The sequence below is a fragment of the Homo sapiens genome, chromosome 2 (assembly GCF_000001405.40).
Source record: "Homo sapiens chromosome 2, GRCh38.p14 Primary Assembly".
Taxonomy (NCBI): Eukaryota; Metazoa; Chordata; class Mammalia; order Primates; family Hominidae; genus Homo; species Homo sapiens.
Genome location: NC_000002.12, coordinates 7,839,391 through 7,866,016, shown reverse-complemented (window position 1 = coordinate 7,866,016; position 26,626 = coordinate 7,839,391). Strand labels below are relative to the sequence as shown.

The window sequence follows — 26,626 nt, the reverse complement described above, 5'->3', positions numbered from 1 at the left end:
ATTGGCTAATTCAAAAAAACTTTCCTGAACAAAATTTTATATTTCCCAACTTGTCCATTAACTCAGTTATTTTGAAACTAAATCTTAAAACTCAATAAACACTTTTAAAATTTATTCCACAAAACCATATAACACAATTTTTCTCCCTCTTGGAAATAATCATAAAATGCTAATTTGGTCATTTTTACTCTAACTTTTTTTTCAAAGCTGTAGTTGGGAAATGTATTGGCACTACATCTAATTGTATAATATTCCATTCAGAACAATGGTACACAAAAATCACCTAGCCCTGAAGTCTCAACATATTTTCTCTTTTTTTTACAGTTTTATTGTGTTTATAATTCCATTCTGATTACTCTTTCTCCTCTTTTCACCTATATTTTTAAATTCCCTGTCAGAAGAGATGAAGTTGAAACCTCAGGAAACACATAACATTTTTCTGTTTTAGAAATCTCTTAAAAAGAATCCTCTTTCAAAACTTCTTTGTTTGAAGATATTTGCTAATTGGGGACTCATAACTGGGGAAGTCTTTTGCTTCATTGAGACAAATCCTAAGACAAAATTTTTTGAGAGTTAGAAAATGTAGCCACATTCATCCATCCATTTGTCTGTCCTTCCATCCATCCATTCATCACTCTGTCTATCCCTCCATCACTGTGCAACACCTACTGAGCCATGCCAGTGTGGAGCATGTGAATCCACCTGTGCTCACATTTACATACTCTCCATTTATAACGAATGAACAGACCCTGCTCCTGGTTATGAGATTTCATCCTGTTCTGTAAATTTTGACTCTGCTCTTGAAATGGTGCCCTGTCTTCTACATCACTATTATTACCTCTTCTACTGGATCATTCCTAGTAGTACAGAACATTTTCAATACTTTTCTTTTCTTTTCTTTTTTTTTTTTTTTGAGACATGGTCTTGCTCTGTCACTCAGGCTGGAGTGCAGTGGCATGATCACAGCTCACTGCAGCCTCGACCTCCTGGGCTCTAGTGATCCTCCCACCTCAGCCTCCTGAGTAGTTGGAACTACAGTTGCACACCACCATGCCTGGATAATTTTTTTATTCTTTGGCCAGATGGGGTCTTGCTGTGTTGTCCACATATCCCTCTGACTACCGCTTTATTTCTCTTTTCTCCTAGACAGCATAATTCCTTGAGAATAATTATTCTATTTTTCTCAAACTCCACATTAGTACATCTTACTGGCTCCACCTCCAAAATACAGCTCGAAGGAGGCCACTTTTCACAACCTCTGTCATCCTCTGCTCCCAATCTTGCTTCCTGTTATCATCAATTTTCCACATGGCACGATAATCGCTGTGGGAATATATATCAGCTAATCAAATCAGAGCCCATCAATGCCCTCCCCAACTTCTAATTACACATGGATTGTGACCCCGCATGGAATCTGTAGCCCAGCAGCCTGCATTCTTCTTTCTATGCTTCTGTCTACACTTGCTTCTCTATTGCTTTGCCTTTCATTTTCATCTCAGGTCATTTCTACTGGGCTTTGGTTCCCATCACTCCACTGAACAGGAGCTCCTTGTTAAGGAGACGATGATCAATTCTCAATCCTCATCTCTTTCACCTGAAAAAGGAATTTATTTTATTATTCCTAAAGTGCTTTCTTCACTGGCCTTCCTGACCCTGTACTCACTCCTTTTCTTTTTACCCTCACTGATCATTCCTTTTCAGCTTCCTTCCCTAGCTGCTGCTTCTCTCTCAGATGTCTGAAGCTCTTCATAACACACGACTCACCCTATCCTTCTCTCCTCTGATACTCTCCTCTAACACTATTTTAAGGCCTAATTGAATTTTCTTTAATAGACTTTATTCTTTAGGCAGTTTGGCTCACAGTAAAATTGAATGAAAAGTACAGAGAGTTCTCAAATGCCCCCGGCCCCCACACAGGCACAGCCCCTACCCCACCTCAGATCAACATTCCCCATCAGCGTGGTCTTTGTTACAATTAATAGACCTACATTGACACATCATTATCACTCAGGGTCCACAGTTTATGTGAGTGTTCATAATACTAACTCTTTAGGAGACCTCATCCCAGTCCCTGGTCTTTATGGCTGAAGATTCCCAAATTCCATCTTCAGCCCCAAACTGTTTCCTGGTCTCTGATTTCCTGATGTCTCCATTTGAGTATCTAGTTGATATCTCAAATTCAGCATGTCCAGAATAACTTTTAATTTCTTGATTTCTTCCACATCTTAGAAAATGTCACCAACATTCACTGAAGAGCTCAGGTCAAAATCTGGGCATCATTTCTGATGCCTCTATTTTTCTCAAGCTCCACATTAGTGGATCTTACTGATTCTACCTCCAAAATACAGCTTGAAGGAGGCCACTTTTCCACATCGTCTTCTGCTCCCAATCTTGCTTCCCCCTGCCATCAATTTTCCACGTAGCAGGATAATCAATGGGAAAATATATATCAGCAAATTAGGCCACAGCTCATCAATACACTCCCCAGCTTCTAATCACACATAGATTGTGACCTCACATGGAATCTATAGCCCAGCAGCCTGCATTCTTCTTTCTGATATAATCCCCCCACTCGCTCCATGTCAGGCTTTGTTCTCTAGCGGATTGTCCTTCTTACTCTTCCTGGAACGAAGGCCTGCATCGAGCCATTTGCACTGATGCTTCCAAAGGTAGATACAGAGCTCACTCTATGCCTTCCAGTGACCCTGCTCTAGATTTCCTCCTGCCATCCTTCTTCTCCCGTCACTCTCCCTTTCCTATCCTGCTTATTTTTCTTTTCTTTATGCGACATTTATTAACAATTATTTGACATTTGATTTTTTTCTTCTTCTTTTTTTTTTTAGACAGAGTCTCCCTCTGTTGCCCAGGCTGGAGTGCTGGGGCATGGTCTCAGCTCACCACAACCTCTGCCTCCTGGGTTCAAGCGATTCTCCTGCCTCAGCCTCTTGAATAGCCAGGATTACAGGTGTGCACCACCATGCCTGGCTAATCTTTTTGTATTTTTAGTAGAGAGGGGGTTTCACCATTGTTGGCCAGGCTGGTCTCGAACTCCTGACCTCATGATCCGCCTGCCTCAGCCTCCCAAAGTGCTGGAATTACAGGCGTGAGCCACTGCATCATTTGATTTCCTGTGTTATACATTGACAAACAGGATAGTTCACTGTCTCCTCTCTAGAACATAAACTCCATGAGGGTAGGAACTTGGTCCTGTTCACTGTCCCAAGAATTAACACATGTCTATTGAATGAGTGATCAATATCGTTTGATATTGAAACGAAAGGTGCTGACCATTTTATCAGTGGGGAAAGTACGTGACAGCAAGTAGCTGAAAACTCAATGAAAACTGGTTTAAGCCTTTAATGGTATGCTTTTAATATAAAATAAAAAGTCTGGAGGTAAAAGGCCAAGCTGAGTGCAGTTGCTCAGGTGTCACCAGGGACCGTGATCCTCGCCCTCCAGCACCACCGTCCCTGACTGTGGCTTTTGTCCTCTGCATGCAGTGCAGTGTTGCTTTTCCGGGAAGGGCACCACATTCTGGACTAAAGGGAAAAGAGCCTTCCCCTAGGAAGACTTTGCTTTTTTATTTGGCAAAGGGTTTCTGTCTTTCCTAGCCAGGACTCGAGCTGGGCATGTTTGTAGCTGAAGCTCAGTTCTGCTCTGACAAAACTGAGCTCTGTTAGGAGGGAGGGAAGGGAAAATGTGGAGTTGCAGGCAGTGGTCCACAAGGAGCCCTGTCTGCTACAAGCTCCGTGGGTGCCTGGCCCTGTGCTATGAGACACTACAGAGATATCCTCTCTTAAGGAATGTGTGCTGTAGAGAAGATGGAGGATGAAAATAATCATCATAAGGAAACCAACACTCTTGTGAGAACTCAGGAGGAGCTATTGGATGCTTGGGCTGTCAATCAGAAAACACTTTGCAAGGCTTATGATTGCATCTTGAGGGAGGCTTGCTAATTGAAAAATTCTGAGAGGGTCTTCCAAGCACAGGGAAGACTATTCGCAAAGGCATGTAGTTGTGAACGTCCAGAGCATGCTTGAAAAAGGAAACTCATTTAGAATATCTGAAGCATAGGTTAGCAGTGCCTGAGGGTGGGCAGGGAAGTATAAATTGGGTTACAGAGAACTTTTGAAAGCTTATCGTAGAGGAGTAATAGCATCAATACATTCATTTCTGAAAGTTCAATCACTTTCCATGAGGAGAAGGCACTAAAGAAATAGAGACTTGAAGCAGGGAGATAAATTTGTAGATGACTGTCTTGGTATTAAATCAACCCTCTCCCAAACTCATATGTTAGGCTCTTGTGTTACAGGTAGGTGTGACTAGATGTGGGCATAGTTTAGAGCAGTGGTCATAATTTCCAATGGCCTACAGAAGCTGGAAGGTGATATCTTATAGGAATCAAATCAGATCAGATGCACAGGGAGTAGTGGGACTGTAGCAAAATGAAGGGTGCACCTCTTCTCCCCAACAAAAACATGCAAATTTAATTTAAAACAACATATGAAATGCTGTGCCTAGGAGAATGATCATCAGGACAAATTTTGTCCAATGTTACTGGCTCCAAGCACAAATAGTAGAGTAACCTTTCACTTAAACAGATACAGTGACGCTCATCATGCAGGAATACGGAGGTTTGTACCCCACAGGTTGAACTGGAAACAGAGAAAATGAGATATTCTTGACTCATTTACAAGCTCCCATGACAGGCTTTGAATTGAACCAACCAGAGGAAGAAATACTCTCAATTAGGGAATTTAATGAAGGAGGCCTGAGTTTGTGTCACTGAGCATGATTTTTGGCAGCACCCACAAATAACAGGAAAGAGAAATGGATTTTTAAACCACAATAACAATACAAGACTTAAACAAATAAAAATAGTTGTTGGTGACTTACAATATGCCAGAATTCTCCCACATGTAATTTCATTCTCATAATATCCCTATAAAAGAAACATCATTTCACCCATTTTATAGATAACAAAACTGAGGCTTGGAGGGGATGTATAATGCACTTGAGGTTACAAAGCTAGTATATGCAGGATATCAGATTTCAGTTACCCCAAGTCCAACACTAGTCCCAATGTGTTACAGTTTCCTATTTATGTCCCATGAGAATAAAACAGTGTTAATCTAAACCCCCTGGCGTTATGCCTAAATTAGTAAGCACTCTGGTTTGAACTTGCTTTCCTTTTGCAAACATTAATGTGCGCCTCTCAGCTGGCAAAAACCACTGCCCCCTTCCCTGTGGAGTCAAGTTAAGGGCTGAATTGAGATGTGCAGTGTAGCCTCACACTGTTTCATCATGTGCTGAAGAAAAGATAGATCTAGATCAGATTGAGGTTCATTCATTTCATGTTTATTGAGAACCTACTCCTTACAGGCATAATGTCAGCAGAAGAAAATCAATAGCTGTTTTCTGACTGATGATTGACATTTCCACTAAAATTCAGATATTATTACCAACTGGACACCTCTCCTCTGTGCCCTGGGTGCTGTTTATTTTCCTAATCTGGCGTTGACCACATTTTACTTGAATACAGGTGTGTACCTGCCTCTACAGAGGAGGCTCCAAGTATCCACATTTCCTAATCCCCATTCTGGCTCAGAGTAGAGGTTCCATTTTAAAAATAAATGAATAAAAACAAAACAAATAAGCATTCCACTGGGCACCTACCCCCTTCTCTAGACATTGTCTAAGCCACTATCTAATGGCAGAATGAAGAAATTTATTTTCATAGTGAAGAAATGACCACCCGTGGCTTTTTTCTTTCTCCTACAAGGGTGGAGGAGAAAGGGAGAAATAAATAATATACTTTCACAGCCTTCTCATTATTATTTCTGGGAAAACATAATAAAGCTACAGCTGGCAGGCACTTATTTTTTTCTTAGCATTTAATAATAGAATTAATTGCTAAGTGGAAAGCTTGCAACCCCCTTTCTGTTGTGCGTTGCCCTCTGCTATCATTATGAATAGATGGAAAAATCAAAGCTAATTATCATTCAGAATGTTTGAAGAAATAGACTGAACCACACACACAAAACTCATTTTACCCTCTACCCTGGCCCCAGGTTATAAAGTTGAAATATGCACACATGCACATACATACACACATTCTAGGGTACCAGCAATTCCCACGGATAATTAACTATGCTAATAATTTAGGTTTTTGTGCTGTGACCATTGATGTAGTTTGGCCCTTTCACATAGAGAAGGACCAGAGCCAGTTGGAAGTCAAGGACTTGGGTTACCTCAAGAAGCCTACTACCAAGCAAGCATGCAGTTTATCTTCCCCAAACAAGAAATGAGTGACCTGTGAGCTACCAATGCCACCTGGCAATGTGTAGTGTCAAAACGCAGAAGTGGAGGCCAGAAAAGTGGAAATACAACCCATTTCCCAAATGTGGAAACGCAACCATCTCCTTTTAGAAAGGAAAGGGCCATAGGTAGGGAATAAATACAGGTAAAGAGGAATTTAGAAAGGTAAGACCTTTCATGTTACAGGATGATATGCAAACATGACCTAGAAAAGCAAAGGATAGGCTGGGCGCGGTGGCTCATGCCTGTAATCCCAGCACTTTGGGAGGCTGAGGTGGGCGGATCACGAGGTCAGGAGATCGAGACCATCCTGGCTAACACGGTGAAACCCCGTCTCTACTAAAAATACAAAAAATTAGCTGGGTGTGGTGGCGGGCGCCTGTAGCCCCAGATACTAGGGAGGCTGAGGCAGGAGAATGGCGTGAACCCAGGAGGCGGAGCTTGCAGTGAGCCGAGATTGTGCCACTGCACTCCAGCCTGGGTGACAGAGCGAGACTCCATCTCAAAAAAAAAAAAAAGAAAAGAAAAGGATAATGATAAGGAGATGACCTTCCTCCCTTAGCTACGGATCCCTGAAGGGCTTCCAAAAGAGATCTGGAATGAGCGATGGCTACTTCCCAAAACAATAGTTGTTGAGGAAATAGACTGTAAGAAGGGAGGTGGTAAGGGTAATTTCCTAAAGGGTTTTTGATGTTGTGAAAGGATATTAATATATAATCTTCAAACAGTTAAAGTCACTATTCTCAAGTAAATATAGAATAAGCACATGTCAAAGATTCTCTTTGACCCATTAATGAATGGGTAAACAGTGAGATGCTACACTTAATTCAAAGAGCATTAAGAAGCTCAAAATGAACGTAGACACAGCTGGAGTACAGAGCTGGCTAATGTCCAACACAGCCACCAGTCTGAAAAGTTAAAGTATATGTTCCTTCACATAAGAATTATTTATATATTTAACAAGCAAACATTTGCAAGTTAACATGCAACTTCACGAAGTTGAGGCCTCTAATTGAAAGGAAACAGTGAAACTCAGTACATCCTTCTAGGTCATGTTTAGGTGGCCTCTGCCAGCATATGACATGGAGAGGCCACAGTCTCCACCTCTTAGACTTATTTCCATGTTTTGGATCATTTTTCTGACCATCCATGGGGGTATCCTGTGAGCACTGAAGTGGAAGAAGAATGGGGCACAGGAATGGAGTGGGGGTGTGCTTTAAGGATGAGCTGCTCACTGCTGGGTGGAAAATGGTATGGTGGAGACATGGAAAAGTTTCGCTGCATGTGATATTAAGCTTTGTTTTAAAACTCTTGTCTTTGAAATCTTTAAGGAATTTACATTACTTGCTAATGCATTATAGAGTTGGGTCAAGACGCAAGACAGGCAAAAAGGGACTGGCAGGGGTCTGCTGGCAGGAGGCATGCAAGCTTCTTGTCCCTGCATTACATCATCAGTCCTCAGAAGAGGCCTCTGAAGTGGATCCCATTGTCACCACTTTAGAGATGGAGTAACTGAAATACAAAGAGATTAAGCAAGTCGTGCAAGCTCATCCACAAACAAGTATCAACCTGGAGTTGAGTCAGTTCTGCTAACCTCTAGCTGGTGCTGCATTTTTTCCATGAACTTTCCAGATGACAAGAGTCAGAAAAATGTAGGCAAACTCTGTCATTCTTCAGCTTTGAAGTAAAGCAGTCTAAGGGTATATTGTGGAATACATTCCCAGAGAGCATGGTCATTTGAAATATCACTCCATAATTTTCCCTTTTTCTATGTTTAGTTCCCCCACCCCCAACCTTCACACATCTGCAGCCATTTCATTGGGAGAGCTAAGCTGAAAGACTTGACTTTCTGCCCCAGATAACCAAGGCCACCTAGAACCAGGAACCTTTGCTCATCTCGAATTTCATACTAGACTTTTAGAATTCTGTAGCCAGGCAATAGTTATTTCAAGAGGAAAAGGGGTCCTAGCTAAACTCTCAATGCTTGCATTTTGCTTATCAGGACTCAAGGCTGTTAAAACTTATCATGGAATAACTCACAGGGATGGAGGTGAGAGAGAAAGTTGAGGAAGGCAGAGATGAGATCCTTTGGTCCATCTTTCCATTTGGGAGCCAGACCTCTTCTGAGAGGCAGACACTATCTATAAATATGGGATGGAGATGCATTTGGGACCATTGAGGTGGGCCCTGGACCCCTGTGCACAGCCTGCGAAGCTGCAAGCCTCAGCTTCCTGTGGTGCCAGCCGGTGGTAGAAGGGGCAGGGCTGAGCCATGGCTGAGAGTGAAGTCCAGTCAGCTGGTGGGAAGTCATCCTCCCAGAGTCTCACAAGATAACTGTTCAGAAAGCTGCTAGGAGTAAGTGGGACTCCCAATGGGTCACAGGCTGCTAAGAGGACAGGTCAACAAGAGGAGTCTAAACAAGAAGGTTCCCAAGCACAGGAAACTTGTAACAAGAACAGTGGAAGATTTTCAATCACCATCAATGGGCACCTACCTGTGCAATATCTGTGCTAACCGGAGCAGGTGGGACCAGCCACACTCACTAGTCCCACAGCCACGTTTCCATCACATGGTCTTTTCTTACCAATATGTAAGAATTATCTCCCTATAATGGGTATGAACTTTTGATGATTGCTTATATGAAGCAAATATCTTTAAAAATTCCTTTTATGGTTTCTTTTGGTTAACATAAAATTTTAATTTTAATGTAGGCTAATTTATCATCCTTATCTTTTAGATTAGTGCCTTTTGTGTTCTAGTTAAGGAAACCTTCTCTACCCCAAGGACATGAAGATATTATCCTATGGACTGTATTATCTTCTAGAAGACAGTTTTGGTTTTACCTTTCATTCTCTATTTTAATATGGTATGAGATAGAATCAAGTTTCATCTATTTTTATAACTGGTCTCAACTTTGTTTATTGAAAATACCTTTTTTTTTTTTTGCCCTCTTCTCTATAGTTTCACCTCTAACATAAATCAGTGTCCACATAAGTAGACATTAATTTTGGTTGATTTTTCTGTCCCGCTGGTGTCTTGTCTATCCATGTGCCCATATCACCATCTCTTCTTTACTGTAAGTGTTTAATAAATTGTGATAGCTATTAGAGTAAGGTTTTCTGTGTGGTTCTTTCTTCAAGAATGCCTTATTCTTGTTCCACTGCATTGCCATATGTATTTTAGAATCAACTTTTCAAGTTTCACAAAAGAATATTGTTTGGATTTTGGTTGGAATTGCGCTGAATTTTCAGATATTTTGGGAAGAACCATAATATTTAATTAAAATTTTGAGTCTTCCAATCTGTGAACATGGTATATCTTCTCATTAGAATTTCTTTACCATATCTTTTTATTTATGTTTTAGTATGCAGATATTGTATGTGTATATATTTGTTATTTTTCCTATGTATTTAATTTTTATTCTATTATAAATTATAACTTTTCTCTAAAAATTTTAATTTTAGCTCCCGATTGCTGATACACAAAAGTAAAATTGATTTTGTTTCCACTTTATACCTAATATTTCACTAAATTTATTTATAATATTCTATCTGTAGATTCTTTTGAATTTCCTATGTAGGCAGGCAATCAAATTATCTCTGAAAAATGGTGTTTTAATTTTTTTCTAAATAATATAACTTTAATTTCTTGCCTCTCCTTTTGACTTAGATTAGAACCTACAGCAAAAAGTTCAATAGAACTTCCCTCAGGTCAGAAAAGACGGGTTTCAGTCAATAACTAATGAAGGCAATATTCACTGTTAGTGTTTTCCCATAACCCTTTATCAAGATTTCTCCTGGGTTGCTCAGATATTTTTTTCCCCTGGCTTCCTTCTCTTTCTTCTTTCTTTCTTTCTCCTTCCTTCTTTTCTTTCTTTCTTTCTTTCTTTCTTTCTTTCTTTCTTTCTTTCTTTCTTTCTTTCTTTCTTTCTTTCTTTCTTTCCTTCCTTCCTTCCTTCCTTCCTTCCTTCCTTCCTTCTGAATGTTGAATTTTATCCATTTTTTTACATCTCTTGAGATGATCATGATTTTCCTCCTAGATTATCTTAATACCATCAACTTTAATTGATTTAACATATTAAATCTTGCATGTTGAATACAAGTAACTTAGTAGTAATATAGTATCATTTTATACATTTCTGGATTTGTTTCATATTATTTATTTAGGATTTTTACATCTATATTCAACAGTGCAATTGACCTACAATTTTTTCTTTCTTCCTGTGTCCTTGTTTCAGAACTAAGGCTATGGTGGTTCCTAAGACAAGTTGATGTGACCTCTCACTTCGTCTTTTCTCCAGAAGAGTTTATTTTAACTTTTTTATCACTTTTTTTTGTGTAGACACATTTATCTATATATTCATAATGTTTGTGCTTCTTCATGCCTATCTGAATCATTACCTCTCCACTTGGATTTTCTTTTCCCTAAGACACCTTTCGCACTTACTTTGTTTTAGGTTTGCTAGTGACAAATTCTCTCAGATGCAGTTTAAATGAAAATCTCTTCATTCTACAAGGATAATTCTTACATGATATAACGTTTCATGTTTGTAGTTATTTCTACTTTTTTTTTTTTTTTTTTTTTTGAGACTGAGTCTCGTTCTGTCGCTCAGGCTGGAGTGCAGTGGCGCGATCTCAGCTCACTGCAAGCTCTGCCTCCCAGGTTCACGCCATTCTCCTGCCTCAGCCTCCCGAAGCTGGGACTACAGGCGCCCGCCACCACGCCCAGCTAATATTCTGTATTTTTAGTAGAGACGGGGTTTCACCGTGTTAGCCAGGATGGTCTCGATCTCCTGACCTCGTGATCCGCCCGCCTCAGCCTCCCAAAGTGCTGGGATTACAGGCGTGAGCCACTGCGCCCGGCCTTGCAGCTCTTTCTTGCAGTACTTTGAAGATATCACTCTAGTCACTTCTGGTTTTCTTTTTTTAACTGAAAAGTCAACTGTCAGTCCATTTTTTAAGTAATTGGAAAGTAATCTCTCTTTTTAAATCCATTTTTAAGAATTCCTCTTTGGCTTTGATTTTTAGCAGTTTTGCTGTGAAAGCCTTCAAGGTGCATTCTTTTCATTTATTCTTCTTGAGGTTCTTACGGATTCTTGAATCTCCTGCTTCACGTCTTTTTTCACTTTTGAAATTTTTTCATCCATTATCTCCTCAAATATTGAGTTTGTCACTTGCTCTCTCTTGTCTTCTGGGATTCCTACTTCATGAATTTATTTTAATTTCATTTTGTCTAATTTGTTGCTTATTATCTTTTCTGTGTTGACTAATTCTCTGTTCAGTATGTCTAATCAGCTGTTAATCACATACATTGAGTTTGTAATTTTGGTTATAATATTTTTGATTTTTAAACTTTCTATTTGTTTCTTTTTAATAAATCTGCTATGTCATCTTTATAGTATTTCAGTTTCTCTACCAAAACTCTCAGTCCTTTTTTGTGTGTATGTATTTGTTTGTTTGTTTTAGCATTTTGTAACATAGTAATCATAATTATTTTAAAATATGTGTCTGATTAATACTTGGAAGCTCTGTAGTTTTATAATTGGCCTGTATTCTCTTTAGTTCTTGTACATGTTGTCTTGTTTCTTCACTTGTTTTTTTTAAATTGAAATATTGTTTGTATAAATTTTTTGAGACTAGGATGATATTCTTTTCCTATAAAGAGGATCTCTGTGCGATGCCTCCTTACTCTTGTGAAAAGCTCATTGAGTTCTAATGCAAGTAATCTGCATGTTAGTTATGGACCCGATGGTCTTGTATGAATTGGTCAAACATACTGTTCAATTTCTTGCCCTCAGAGCCAACTTTTTCCATATTGACCAAACTCCTAAAGGATAAGTGGCTCGAGAAGTTGAGCTTTTAGCCCTTTGCATATCTGTTTTCTCCATAATCTGGACCCGGTACGTTTTTTACTTTCTTACAAATTTCTAATGCCACCAAGACAATTAAAAAACATATATATTTCCAGCCTTTCTACTTTCTTTACAGTAAATGGGTCACTTTGAATTACCAAATCTGCCATTACTCGAAAAAAAGGTCAAAAATTGTTTTATCAGTGAAATTTGTTGTATTCGAGATACATGAATTATCTAAGATGTTTTGGAGACATTTCTCCTCCTTATATGAACACAGTTAAGTAGCTGGGGAGCCCTCTGGTCTTCATCATTAGGAATAGCAACTCAGCTTACTTCCTAAGTGTCTATGTTCAGGTATTAGTTAAAAAAGCTCTTGGTCACTTGGTTCATCTTTATAGTCAGGTCATTCCTGTGGCTAGAATATTACTGCTTTTGCCTCATATAAGCTTTTAATGCAGAGTATTAGTGGGGCACAAAATAGACAGAGCTGGAATTCCATTGAGCCCTGAATGCAGGTAGCAACGCTGCTCTGTGTTTGCATATGACAAAAGCCAATCTATATGCTGGTGTACTTCCATGAAAATTGATAGAGAGGTTATGGCTGCAGAGAAAACTCACCTGTCTGGCCATATCTACTGAAAGTTACCTCATATTTGTGTACAACTAAATTGGCAAGCTTGAAACAGGATTTAGAAATATCTTTATGTAGTGCATAATCAATAGTCAAAGATTAACTGGGACTAGTAAGATGAAGTCTAAAACATGGAGGAGCCTTCTCCATAAGGCATATCTGGGTAAGAGCAATGTAGGAACTATGGTGGGAATCCGGAGAATTGTGTGAGAGAGGAATCCTACCAGGGTCAGAACAGACATGTTCTTTACTCTCTTAGTGTGGGCTAAGGATTTTCATCAACATTTAAGGAAATGTATGGGACCTATAAAACTGGCATAAAATGCCAAAGGAAGAGGCAAAGCTGACATGAAAGGAGAAACATATTACAATGGAAATGGGCAAAATAAGGAATGAAGTAGGCAGAATTCTAGAATGGCCTCTAGGTTCCTGTTCCCTTCTGTAATACCCTGACCTCCTGCCCCAGATGTGTGAGTGGGAGGGGGTAGGTTGTGACTACGGTGAGATGTCACACACAGGATTCTATTGTGTTAGATAGCAAAGAGGAAGGAATTTTGCACATAATAATTAAAGTTCCAAATCAGTTGTTTTTGAGTTAATAGAGAGTATTGTGGGTGGGCCTGACTTAATTAGGTGAAGATCCTTAAAAGGAGGTCTCGCCCCTTTCTAGAGTTTCTCCTGCTGGCTTTATAAAAAGCACACCACCAAGACTTCTACAGCTGTAAGGAAACAAATCCTGGCAACAGCCATGGGAAATGGCGAGGCGCTCCAGCCTCAGATGAGCCCCAGCCCCGTGCAGATGCCTTAACTGCAGCCTTGGGAGAACCTGGGTGGAGGACCTGGCTGAGCCACGCTTCTGGGACCCCTGACCCACAGAAACTGACATGATGAATGTTTCTTCTTTTATGCTGCTAAATTAGTGGTAATTTCTATTTCTATTGGCAATAACAAAAAACTAATAGAAGGAATTACAAATGCAATAACAGAAATTAAAAATATTAAGAAACAAGATCATTCAGAAATTATTTTTGAAAACTAAACAATATCATAGTCAACTAAAAGATGAATAGAAATGAACAATTCAAAAATGGGTAAATGAAAATATTAATAACAAAAGGGCAAACAAAAGTCTTAATCATTAGACATTTTAAAAATATAAAAATTGCCTCTGGAATCACTCCTGGATCAAAGAAGGATTTAAAAAAATTAATACAGACTATTTAAAAAATAATAGCCTTGAGGCTATTATGTATAAACATTGGAGAAGCATAAATATTCTACTCCAAGTTACTGTTATAATCCTAAGTATTTTTATTATTAAGCTTTAATGATGAATAAAACATTTAACTCAGATGTTTGGTAAGAGAACAATATTATATTAATGAAAAAAAGTTGAAGAATATATTTAAGACAAAAGCAGGCATTAACAAATTAGAAAAAAAGAAATGTGAAATACGTAAATATCAAGAGTTGTGTCTTCAAGGAAAATAATAAAGCATATAAACCCTGACAGATCTAACTAAGCAAAACAAATAGAAAGAAAGCATAATACATTCAAATAGGCATACAACCAGAGGATCTACAAACTGAAACATGGAAAAAAATTCAAAAACTAAATGACCTGAATATTCTTTTAAATCTCCCTTAATAAGCTATGCCCATTTAATATCTATATCTTTATATGTTTCTTAATAATCTCAGTAATCTATCTCTTAACAAGTTTTTTTTCATTCTTTTGTGCTTTCCAAATTTCATGTTTAGTCTGCATTATGTTTAAAATAAGAAAATTGTAGCTGTCATTTTGGGCCCATCTTCCTCTCCCAAATCCTAAAGAACCAGGAGGACTGGAATTCATTTTTTCTCTTCCTATGAAAACTCAGGTGAGCCTCTCACCTTCCTGGGCCTCCATGTAAAAAGTGAATAATCTCAAGGACCCACATGATGGAAGGCAGTCCTTTTGCTCACTGCCTCCTAATCTCAAGGACCCACGGGATGGAAGGCAGTCCTTTTGCTCACTGCCTCCTAATCTCAAGGACCCACGGGATGGAAGGCAGTCCTTTTGCTCACTGCCTCCTAATCTCAAGGACCCACGGGATGGAAGGCAGTCCTTTTACTCACTGCCTCCTAATCTCAAGGACCCACGGGATGGAAGGCAGTCCTTTTGCTCACTGCCTCCTAATCTCAAGGACCCACGGGATGGAAGGCAGTCCTTTTGCTCACTGCCTCGCAGTCTCAAGGACCCATGGGAAGGAAGGCAGTCCTTTTACTCACTGCCTCCTAATCTCAAGGACCCACATGATGGAAGGCAGTCCTTTTGCTCACTGCCTCCTGGTGCAGTCAGGATAATCAGGGCTCGCTGTCAGGTGTCTTGGGGACCATGTTCCTGATGGGTTTCTTGGTTAGCTGGGAACTAAGCAGAAGCCCCTTGGCGCCAGCCCTGCTAATAAAAAATCTCCTGGAAAGTAGAAATGGAAAAATATTTCCAATTATGAATTTGAGAGATGAAATCATGCATCTGGAGAAAATGAGCCCACACCTGGAAAGAAGACTGTCTGGAACTAATGGAGGGGAGGCTGCAGAGGAAGACAGCATCCCTTAGGATGGCCCCAGGGCTCTTTATCCTGTGACCTTTTACCTGTTGGGAGACACAGCAGCAAGTGTAGGAAGCCACGTATTCTCATCTGTGCTTGATGGTGTATTTCACAAAGCCCCTGTCTCTGTGAGGATGTGCAACTCTCCAGAAGGATGCTTTGAAGAAGAAACAGGAAGGAGCACAGTCCCACCATACCTCTTGCCTGGGGCAGTGGTGGAAAATGCACAGGCTCCCAAGCCCCTCAGAATAGGGTTAGGTTCAAGAGCGATGTTCAAAATATCTATCAGCCACTGAAGCCCAGGAACCAAATAAACAGAATAGATCACAGCCTTTGTCCTGATGTGGGGTCCCAGAGGCCTGTGCGGTACCAGGAATGTACCCATTAGTTGGTGGATTTAGGTGCTGTTTGAAATTTCCAAGGCAGGTAGAGGAGAAAGACGAGGGGCTGTGGGGCTAGGGAGAAGAGATTCAGGGAGCTTGGAGAAGTGGTGATTTGCCAAGCTGTGTAAAGCATGCATTTCAAGATCTTAGCAGCCAGTGTGTCCGACGGGAATTCTATTATGGTTAGTGGCCTCCTTCGTCTCCCCAGACCCACATTTATAACCATCACAATGTGGATCACAGTCTACTGTAATGGTCTGATCATGTGCCTAATGCCCCAACCAAGTAAAAACACTTTAAAGACAGGAGTTGTGTCCTTTTAATAAGTGCACCCAATGTCAAGAGTGATGCCTGCCTGGTTTCTGTTTCATGCCTGGAGAATTTGCATTGGTGAGTTGAGGACAGCCGCCAAGGTGTCAGGGCAGGGATGGTGGGCACAGTGGGCAGCCTGTGGCCGGTGTCTTGCCATGGTGAGGAGGTGTGAGTCTCCACCGGGAAGCAGGGCCGTAGGAGGCCAGCTAAGGCATGGATCCCACCCTCAACCCTCAGAGTGGCTCCCATGCTCCACCCAGGGTGGCAAGAGGGAACGGCCAATGCCAGCAGTCAGTTCAGTACTCTGCCTCCATTGCTGTTTTCCCAGCTTTCTGTGCAGATCCTGGAGCAGCCAGAGGCAGCATAAAGCTGGGGAGAGAGGAGGAGGAGGAGGAAAGATGGAAGAGCCCACACTCCTTCCTCCGAGGCTCCGGGAGAGGAACATCTCCCTGGACTGGAAGGTTCCAATTAGACAGTACTAGTCTTTTAAAATAGCTGACGATGACTCTTAATTATCTAAAATAATTATATGTAATTGAGATCTGGCACAGGCTGGAGAAAGAAATCAAGCTTTTTATATTTGTCTCCTCATTGAGTTTAGCTCACTTAATCCACTGGATACACATCTACCCTTACAACAAATACTTACTGAGAAACTATTACAGATAAGACATGGTCCTGAGGAGCAAGGGCCTGCGGATACAAATTGTTCAATGATCTCTAACCTCTGGCATCTCAGTCCAACAGTGGGAATGGTGGCTCAGCAACTCAATACAGCATAACACCAAGAGGGCTGTCATAAAAGGACAAACACATTAAAAATTACTATGGAGAAGGATGAAGGTAATTGTCTAGGTGGCTGGCAGCTGTGGCCTATGCCCTTGTGTGCCCATGCTGTGGTCTCTACTAACACTCCATGATGGGAAATGCCCCAGGAGACGGATCCTGCCTGTGGGTAGTGGGTGCTTTTGAAGAAAGTGAGATGGAAACAGACTAGCTAGGAAGCCACTGGATGTGGGGCAGGATGGTGTGTAGGGACAAAAAGAAAAGACAAGAACCCGTTTTGATAGAATTGCTCACTGGGAACATCTTTTTTTATGAATATCAAACTAATTCTCCAAGTCAGCCTGGAGTGCAGAGTGGCCAGTGGGAATGCATGCCGCTGAAATTGCTTAATTAAAGGCATGATATCCTGTGTTCATTTAATGCTTTACTTCATGGTCACTGTTTCTTATCTCACAGCAAGGTCCAGGCCTCAGCATCATGCAGAGAACACTGCATCATCCAGAGGCCAGCATCAGAGCCTCCTGGGTAACTGCAGGAAGGGGTCCTCGTCTTGGTGGCCCCAAGTGGAACACCTTTCAAATGAATGCCCCCACCTATAGGGTGGGTGTATGGAGGGTGAAGGAGAAGCGATCACACTTATGGTTTCAGGACCCAGGGAAGATAAAAAAGCAGAGGTGACTGAGCGTCTGGGGAAGAAGGTGATAAACAGCTTCTCAGAGCTTGCAGCACAGACAGCTCCATTCATAACTTGTTAAATGGAAGCTCAGGAATGCTTTCAACAAGCGGGGACATCTTATCTGCAGCATGGATGAGAAATTTCACTCACAACAAAGCTCAGCATAGAAAGGGCTCTTATCTCAGAGTCCAGAATGAGGATATTAGTAACACTGCCTGCTTCTTTCTCAAACCCTATTAGCGTCAGGTAATAGGTTTCACCAGTGGCTTTTAGCATTTGCTCAGCTGCAGAGAGCTACTGAAAAAGAAAGTTTCTTTGGAAACAAGAAGACTTATACTGAGAAACATTACCCGATCATTGAGGTTGCTATTGATTCAGGTATTTCTGAATAGTTGCCTGGAAAGCATTTCTGTAGAGTGAGTCAGGCTTTTGCCCTTCACTTTTGTTTTGAAGATGAGAGTAGTTGCTTCTGGGCAAGGTTTCAGGAAGCCAACATACACACACACACACACACACACACACACACACACACAAAACTGTGTATGTGTGTGTTTCTGTGAATGTACGTCTTTATGTTTTTATGCTTTACTGAAATCGTTTGAAACTAAGGGAATACATGAGGAAGCTTCTAGGGATCCCTGAAGTTCATGAATTTGTATAGAAGACATCTGTGGCTTTTTAAAATTTGTACTGGAGAGCAGGGTCATGCTCTAATTAATGACACGAGTAAATATACAAAGCACTTCTGCCTACATTACTGGAGAAAAGGCCTGAAAGAGGTAGGTGAGAGCTATGCTTTCTATAAGGTTGGAGCAAACAACAAATGCAAAAGCCCTGAGTTAGGAACGTTCCTGAGATGCTCCAGAAATAGCCAGGAGGGCAGTGTGGATGGAGCAGCGTGAGTGAGGAAGGGAGTTGTAAGTGATGAGGCCAGAGAGAACTGATGTGTAATGGTATGGGTACGGCTTACACACCATCACACATCAGTTCTGGTGGCCAGTGCAGTGGCTCCCGCTTGTGATCCCAGCTACTGGGGAGGCCAAGGCAGGAAATATAGCTTGAGACCAAGAATTTCAGACCTGCCTGGGCAACATAGTGAGACCCTGACTCTACAAAAAAATTAAAAAAAAAAAATGCCTGATGAACCATTCTAAGAATTTCAGCTTCTGTATCTGTGTGAGATGAAAAGCCAAGGGAAGCTTTTGAGTCCAGAAGTGTCGTGATTGGATTTTCATTCTGAATGATTTCCACAGGTTGTCCTGTTGAGAATAGAATTAAGGAGGTTGGGGGATAGAGAGGCTCAGGGTTGATCAAGGGGTGATTGCAATCATTGAGGTAAGAAATTATGGGGATTTCACTTAAACTAGAAGCCATGGAGGAGATTAGATGAAGCCATTTTCTGGATGTGTTCTGTGGAGCCACTAGGATTGTTGATGGATAGGTTATAAGCGTCAAAGAATGAACGGAACCATGGATGACACTGATTTCCAAAGCAATCTCTCCATCTTTTTTTATTTAAAAATCCTGGCACCCCAGCGGCTTTGATCTTGGAAGCTGGTGAGCAGCAGTGGCCTCACACTCGTGGTCCATGCCCATGAGGAGCTGTTCCCTGCAGAGGAGGCTCCTGGCTCTGGTAGTCACCTTCTGCAGGGATCATGGGGCCAAGGGCCCACTTAGGGAAATCCCACACCCACTGATCTGTCCTGATCGAATCCTGAATGGACTGTATCAGAGAAATGAGCACCCCTCACACCTTTTCACTAAAGGCAAGACTAGAAAGAGGTGGGTAGGGGGTTGGGGGAGAGCTGATGCCCCCAGAGCACTGGAAATCAAATAGCGGCAGGTGCTCAGCAAGGCCATGCTGGCCACCCTCTGTTTGCCTTTCAGACCCTTCTGCCTCCTTCCAAGTCCAGCCCGTGCCCCAGGACACATCCTTAGGGAATGCCTCTGGAGCCTCTGGCTTCAGGTTGAACTTGGGTATTGAGGAGCACCCGCATAAGGAGAGTTAGAGAAGGGTCAGGTGTGTATCTTATTTGTTTATTCATCTTGTTTGTTACTCTGTTTCTCCTTTGACATCTTCTTTTGTGTAAAACAAATTATTTTCAGTATACTGTTAGTAATGTATTAAATTTTATGTCTATATATACTGGCTCCTTAAAGGAATGCAATACATGTCTTTAACTCATTGCAATCTAATAATTAGTGACTTAATTTTTGTAACACGTAATAATTTTGCACATATATATTTCTATGCCCTTGTCCTCTCTCTGATGGGCTCAGGGTCTGGCTGGATCTCTTGACTCTCCTGAGGCCCCCACCCCTGCTTAGTGGCCTTCCCACACTGCTGACCTCTCTGGGGGCGCAATTTCTCCCACCCCTCCCCTCTCAGGCTGGAAGGGTTGGCAGCTCTAGGATGTTACTAGCCCAGGAAATTAGACTGTTCTCGTGCTCACCCTACACCTTGCCTGCTTCTTTATAAACAATCCCTTTACTGAATTATACTAAAATTATCTCATTTGGGTGTGCCATCTACTTTCTACAGAAATATTGACTGTTGCAGAGGCATACTTTTTGGATTTTCAAAGGCTGTTAAGAATTATAGCCTAGGGATTATAACTTTGAAGACTGTTTTTAATAAACTTTATTGAAGCATAATTTACATGCAATAAAATTCATTAATTTTTAAGTGTACAATTTGATTAGTTTTGACACATGTAAATAGTCCTGTAACGAATAACACAATAAAAATGTAGAGTATTTGTATCAAGATGTTCTGAAATTTTCCAATTCCCCTTTGCAGTCCAATCCCTCACTCCACACCCTGGTCCCTAGAGACCCTTGCTCTGGTTTCTGAGGTTTTATCAGTATTCTGACTTCAGTTGGCGTGTCCTCTGCAAGATGTCCCAGCCTCATGGAAGTGATTAAGCATACAATCTTTTAAACAGAAAGACCTTGCATGCCTCAGAAGTGCTTGGGATATTTGAATTCATTTCAAAGTCAGGCTCTATGAGTAATAGGATGCTGTCCACTGCCTGAAAGGCAATGAGGCAGGAAGACAATCAAAACGAAAGATCAGCATTGTCTGGACACAGATTTCACTCTGAGATGGAGTTCTGAGGGGAGTCATGGAAAGATTTGTCCTTGACAGTTCAGAAGAAAGAAATGGGCTCTGGCTTCCAACAAATGCCAAGTTCAAATCCTGGCTCTCCCACTAACCAGCCTGATGTTTCAATTCTGTAGACTTCTACTAGTATCTTTTTCTCTCTAAAATAGAAATAATCATACGTAGCTTATGTATTATTGTGAAAATTAAAGTGTATTATTGTATAGAATAAGCCCAGAACAGTATAACAATATATTTGTACAGTACATATGATATGTATAGTACATAGGCTTATCAGTTAATATTATTACAATCATTACTATCTATGTTCTCGAAAAGTTTACCAGGATATACAATTTGTAAGACCTTTATGGTTCTTGACATTAGTCTTAGCTTTTCTCATCTAAGAATTCGCTTTGTTTGATGTAAAAATCCCAGTACTAATTTCTAGAAATTTGAACAAGGCTGACAAAATTTTGAGGTTTACTACTGTTTTGATGCCTGGCGTGAAATGCTGGCTCGGCTGCTCCCTAGCTGTGATGGGAGGGGAGGGATTATCCCTGCCCTCTGCTTTGTTCCTTCCTCCTTAAAATGATCTGGTTGGGCTGAGCGATTTCTACTGTCTGTGCCAGGTCTAGAATACGAGGACTCGGATTCAAAACAGGAATGCAATCTCTAAGGAAAAATGCTTTGGGTGTCTCCAAACCTGATTCGGACAGAGCATGCAGAGCAGCTTGATGCAACTGTATTCCTGGTGTTCAGTGGGCTCTTCCTGCTGAACCTAAGCAGAACGAGTCAGGACAAGTTGGGTTGGATAATACTATATTATCCTGTCATTAAAATGTCAAGATGTGAGAAGGCATTCTCTGTCTTCCCAAATAAATAGAGCAAACCTTCTGGATTTCTCATAGGCACATTTCTCCTTTAATAATGCGAGTGAACAAAGTGATTATTGATGCTCACAGGTGTCAGTGCTCAGACACAAAGAGGTATTAGCCAGGGCCTCAGCAAGGAGCTCTTTCCTATAACTTTATACATGGAAAGTTAATGCCACATAGGAATAAAGCTGGACAACTTAAATACTACAATGGGATTTAGCATTCAGGTTTCAGAGGCTATCCTAATTTCATTCTTCAGAAAATTATTCTCCTGAGTTTCTCAAAAGAAGATACTCTAGTATATATTTTGGCAATAGTAAGAAGCTTATTTTAATGTAGCCAGCTTCTCTACTAGCATATTTTTAAATGATCTATCCCAGTTTCCACAACTCTTGAGTTAGGTACTATTATCCTCATCTTACACAGGAGGAAACTGAAGATCCATCGCTTGGCCAATGCCATGGTGTAGACAGTGAGTGAGCTGTCTGAGCTGTCTGATGTCCACACCCAGTCAGGATCTTTCTCCTGGACCTTAAAAAGCCTTTCATCAACTTATTCGGCCAGGGAGCCAGAAACATCAGTGTTGGTATTAGAGCAATGCTTTTGTGCTCAGCAATTATTAAAATGCAAAGAGGTAGAGAGAGCCAAGAAAATGAAAGCAGAGACAGCTTTACCTGGGAAGAACTGGCTTTGAGATGAGCACTGTGAAGGCTTGCATGGACATCCCTGATAGTTCAGTTACATTTCTATGATATGGTGAAGAAGACGTGTAGACCACAGCAACAAATATGGCTGTTCCTACCGTGCCCCTGTCCACACTCTGCAGAAAGAGAACTATCCAGCACCCCAAACTGGACGGCCTTCGGTTTTTATTTCCTTTCCTTTTTTTTCAAGAAAGTGTGTTTTACCAAGCTCAAAAACATATCTTAGCCAGACAACAGCCTCCTTTCTAGGTGGAGTAAGGAGAATTTAGGGTGTCTAAGCCAGAAAGCCAGCACCCGTTTGAACCCCGGACATGCATATTAAAGAGTTATGCAGCAATGATGGTTTTGTGTAATCAACAGTGTGTTAGTAAATGTTTAACAACTGTCTCTTGTGGGAGGTAGTAGGGGAACCCTGACTTTCTGGCATTTGCTGATTTCCATGCTATAAACATCCTGCTTTGGCTGATTTCAACCTATCAAGGTGATGTCACTGAACAGGTAGTTGGGAAGAGATGCTCAGAAAAATACTGTTATGTGGTATTTACACCATACAGATGTAATGGAAGTAAATAAACTTCATGAAAGCATAGCTGGTGGTATACAAGCAAGACATCTAAAGCAAAGAACATGCACATTTCTATGCAACATGGTTTTCAGTGTGTTATCCCAGGTCAGTGGCACCAGCATCACCTGAGAGCTTGTTGAAGATGCAAATTCTTGTGTGCATCCCCAACTACTGAATCTACAACTTTGGTGGAATAGGACTCAAAGTCTGTGTTAATAAGCCCCCCTATGATTCTGCAGCATATTGAAGTTTGGAAACCACAGATATAGAAGCTCAGATGAGTTCTAGAAACAGTATTTTGAGAAACGTTGTGGTGTAATAGAAAGCAAAACTTATCTTTGAGCCACTTGTTTTAACAGTCTTGTGTATGGGAGAAAAAAGAGAAAAAGGCAGTTAAAAAAAAAGGGAAAATGCTCCATCCATGTCCCTGCAAAGGACATGATCTCATTCCTTTTTATGGCTGCATAATATTCCATGGTGTATATGTACCACATTTTCTTTATCCAGTCTATCATTGTGGGCATTTGGGTTGATTCTATTACATTGCTATTGTGAATAGTGCTGCAGTGAACATACACATGCCTGTATCTTTGTAATAGAATGATTTATATTCCTTTGGGTATATACCCAGTAATGGAATTGCTGGGTCAAATGCTATTTCTGGTTCTAGATCTTTGAGGAATCTCCACACTGTCTTCCACAATGGTTGAACTAGTTTACATTCCTACCAACAGTGTAAAAGTATTCTTATTTCTCCTCAACCTCACCAACATCTGTTGTTTCTTAAGAGCATTAGGAAATATAGCTAGTGCATTCTAGGCTTAATACCTAGATGATGGGTTGTTAGGTGCAGCAAACCACCATGGCACATGTTTATTTATGTAACAAATCTGCACATCCTGTACATGTACCCCGGAACTTAAAATAAAAATAAAATTTTAATTAAAAAAAAAGAAAAAGAAAAAATCCACATATCACTTCCCAATGGCCTCAAAATTCCCCCAAAATCAGAGCTGTAGAACACCATCATTATCAACCTTATTTTTTATTATATTAGTAATGAACAAACACACTCATTTTATTGAAAACTATTCAAATATCACTTCTAAGTGCACACTCTCCTTTTCCCTTTGACCACAATCTGAATCCCAACAAAGTCTCTGAGATAACTTTTGCTACCCATTAGGGCAGGGGTCCCCAAGCCCCAGGCCACAGAGCAGTACCAGTCTGTAGCCTGTTAGGAACTGGGCCGCCCAGCAGGAGGAATTGGGCCACCCAGCAGGAAGTGAGCAGTGAGTAAGCATTACTGTCTGAGCTCTGCCTCCTGTCAGTTCAGTGGCAGCATTAGATTCTCATAAGAGTGCAAACCCTATTGTGAACTGTGCACACAAGAGATCTAGGTTGCACGCTCCTTATGAGAATCTAATGACTGATGATCTGTCACTGTCTCCCATCACCCCCAGATGGGACCATCTAGTTGCAGGAAAACAAGCTCAGGACTTCCACTGATTCTACATTATGGTGAGTTGTATAATAATTTCATCATAATATTACAGTATGACAATAATAGGAATAAAGTGCACAATAAATGTAATGCTCTTGAATCATCCCAAAACCATCCCCCAACCCCAGTCTGAAACCATCCCCCCAACCCAGTCCATGAAAAAATTGTCTTCCACGAAATCAGTTCCTGGTGTCAAAAAGGTTGGGGACCACTGCATTCGAGTACGTCCTTACTCACTATGTCCTATGCATTCATGTGTCTCTAAATAAATATGATAATGATGTTATTTTACAATAAATGGCATCATTTTCTTTATTTCTGCGTTTTCATTTTTATTTCTGACTTGAAAGGATACATGTACATTCACCTCAATCTCTGTGTATGGATTGTTGTCCTACAGTTAGATGTTTCTCCCCTGTTAGACACTGAGGCACAGACAGCTTAGAGTTCACCAAACGTTACTTCCCTTGGCCATGGACACATTTCCCAGCATGCTTTGCAGCTAGCCAGTGGAGACCTTGTAGATGCTGCTTCGGGGCCTGGCCCCTTTACACCCCCTTGGGATTTTGTTCCGTGGTCTCTCCTCTCCCCCAGCCGGATATGGACTCAGAAAACTCCACAGGTTGGCTGAGCCCTAAAATAAAAGGAGCCAAACAAAAAAAGCAGGAGTGCAGCCCATTGACCATACATCTATCAGGACAGTCACTGAGCAAGAAGTAAACTGTCTGTTGAGTCATTACCATTTGGTTTCATTTATTATAGCAGTTAGCCTATTCTACCTAAGGCCAATACTTAGGTTGTTTACAACTCTTCGCTAAACAAATACTGCAAGCTGGGCGCGCTGGCTCATGCCTGTAATTCCAGCACTTTGGGAGGCCGAGGCTGGCGGATCACAAGGTCAGGAGATTGAGACCATCCTGGCTAACACAGTGAAACCCCGTCTGTACTAAAAATACAGAACATTAGCCAGGCGTGGTGGCGGGCGCCTGTAGTCCCAGCTACTCTGGAGGCTGAGGCAAGAGAATGGTGCGAACCCGGGAGGCAGAGCTTGCAGTGAGCCGAGATCACGCCACTGCACTCCAGCCTGGGCGATGGGGCGAGACTCCATCTCAAAAAACAAAACAAAACAAAACAAAACAAAATAATGCAAAGATAGCCTTGTGCTGGGTATCTTTGCATTAACATTTTAATGCAATCTACCTGAAAGTTCTCCAAAGACCAATTTACATTCCCACCAGTACTGTGTGAGAGTAACAGCAGTTTTTTCATTCTAGTCAACATTAAACATTGCCAATCCTTTGAAACTGTCAATTCTATGGATCTAAAATTGCTTTTTAGTTTGGATTTCTATGTAAATTTTCTGTTTACTTCTTAGATGGGTTATTTTTCCATATATTTTGTAAGGTTTTGCGTGCCTTTTTTCTTTTCTTCTTTTTTTTTTTTTTTGGACAATTGCCTATTCACTCATTTTGCCCATTTTTTTCTGTTGAGTCTTTCATATATTTTTTATTAATAATCAAGATTTCTTTCTATTTTCCTGCTCTCTCCTTTGTACTTAAATATTTCATGACATCTTTAGTCATATAAAAATTCTACCTTTTAATGTAGAGAAAGCAATCATTTATTACTGTATAGACATTGTCTTATTGTTTCAATTATGAATCCCTTTTCTAAACTAACATAATAAACATGTTTTTAATATTTGTCTGTTTTTATATTTGTTGAATGTTTCTATAGTTCTAATTTACTTATTTGATTTTTTACAAACAACTTTTTTGTGAATGGTACAATGTAGAAATATAACTCAAGACTGTTTTCTGAATTAATAATTACTTTTTTAAACATCATTTCTAGAATAGCTTCTACTTTCCCTATAGCTTATCACCTATGTAAAACCTGTGGAGTACTCTGGAATCTGTCATGACCATTGACCTATTTTTTGTTAATGTGCTATTACTGTACTCTTTTAAATGCTATGGAAAAACATTTCAACTTGACTTTTGTGGAAACATGTTTGGAACTGAGAAATTGAATTATATTCATTTTATTTTCTTTGTACAATGTCAAAACAAAACAAAACAAAACAACAGCAACAACTTTCACTCTTACTGCCAAAACTGGTTCTAATAAGTCAATCCTCTTTTTGAAATTTAAACCTTTTGAATAAATTATTGATGTTTGATTTCAGCCCTGTTTATTCTCACATTCAAAGGCAGGATAAAAAATGGGCAAGGAAATTTTTTCCAACCTCTCTCAGACACAGGGCACCAGAAGCCTTGACCAGGTGTCTGGGGAGCATGAGGAACACTTACAACTCCACG

The 26,626-nt window shown here is 40.6% G+C and overlaps 1 long non-coding RNA gene across 1 annotated transcript in view, besides 1 other annotated feature; it reads left to right on the top strand.

The window, feature by feature from the left end:
- Positions 1-2,576: 2,576 nt before the first annotated feature.
- LOC105373408 (uncharacterized) overlaps positions 2,577-26,626 on the top strand; it is a 66,343-nt gene continuing 42,293 nt past the window's right edge. The window contains exon 1 of the long non-coding RNA XR_922750.1: positions 2,577-2,669. This is a non-coding gene — a long non-coding RNA (uncharacterized LOC105373408). The remainder of the gene's footprint in view (positions 2,670-26,626) is intronic.
- Positions 24,656-24,844: a silencer, noted in NCBI's record as "fragment chr2:7981304-7981492 (GRCh37/hg19 assembly coordinates)". NCBI's record gives its function as "represses an EF-1alpha promoter that drives an FKBP-Casp9 reporter gene in an ReSE screen in K562 erythroleukemia cells {active_cell/tissue: K562}" and the evidence as "EXISTENCE:reporter gene assay evidence [ECO:0000049][PMID:32094911]".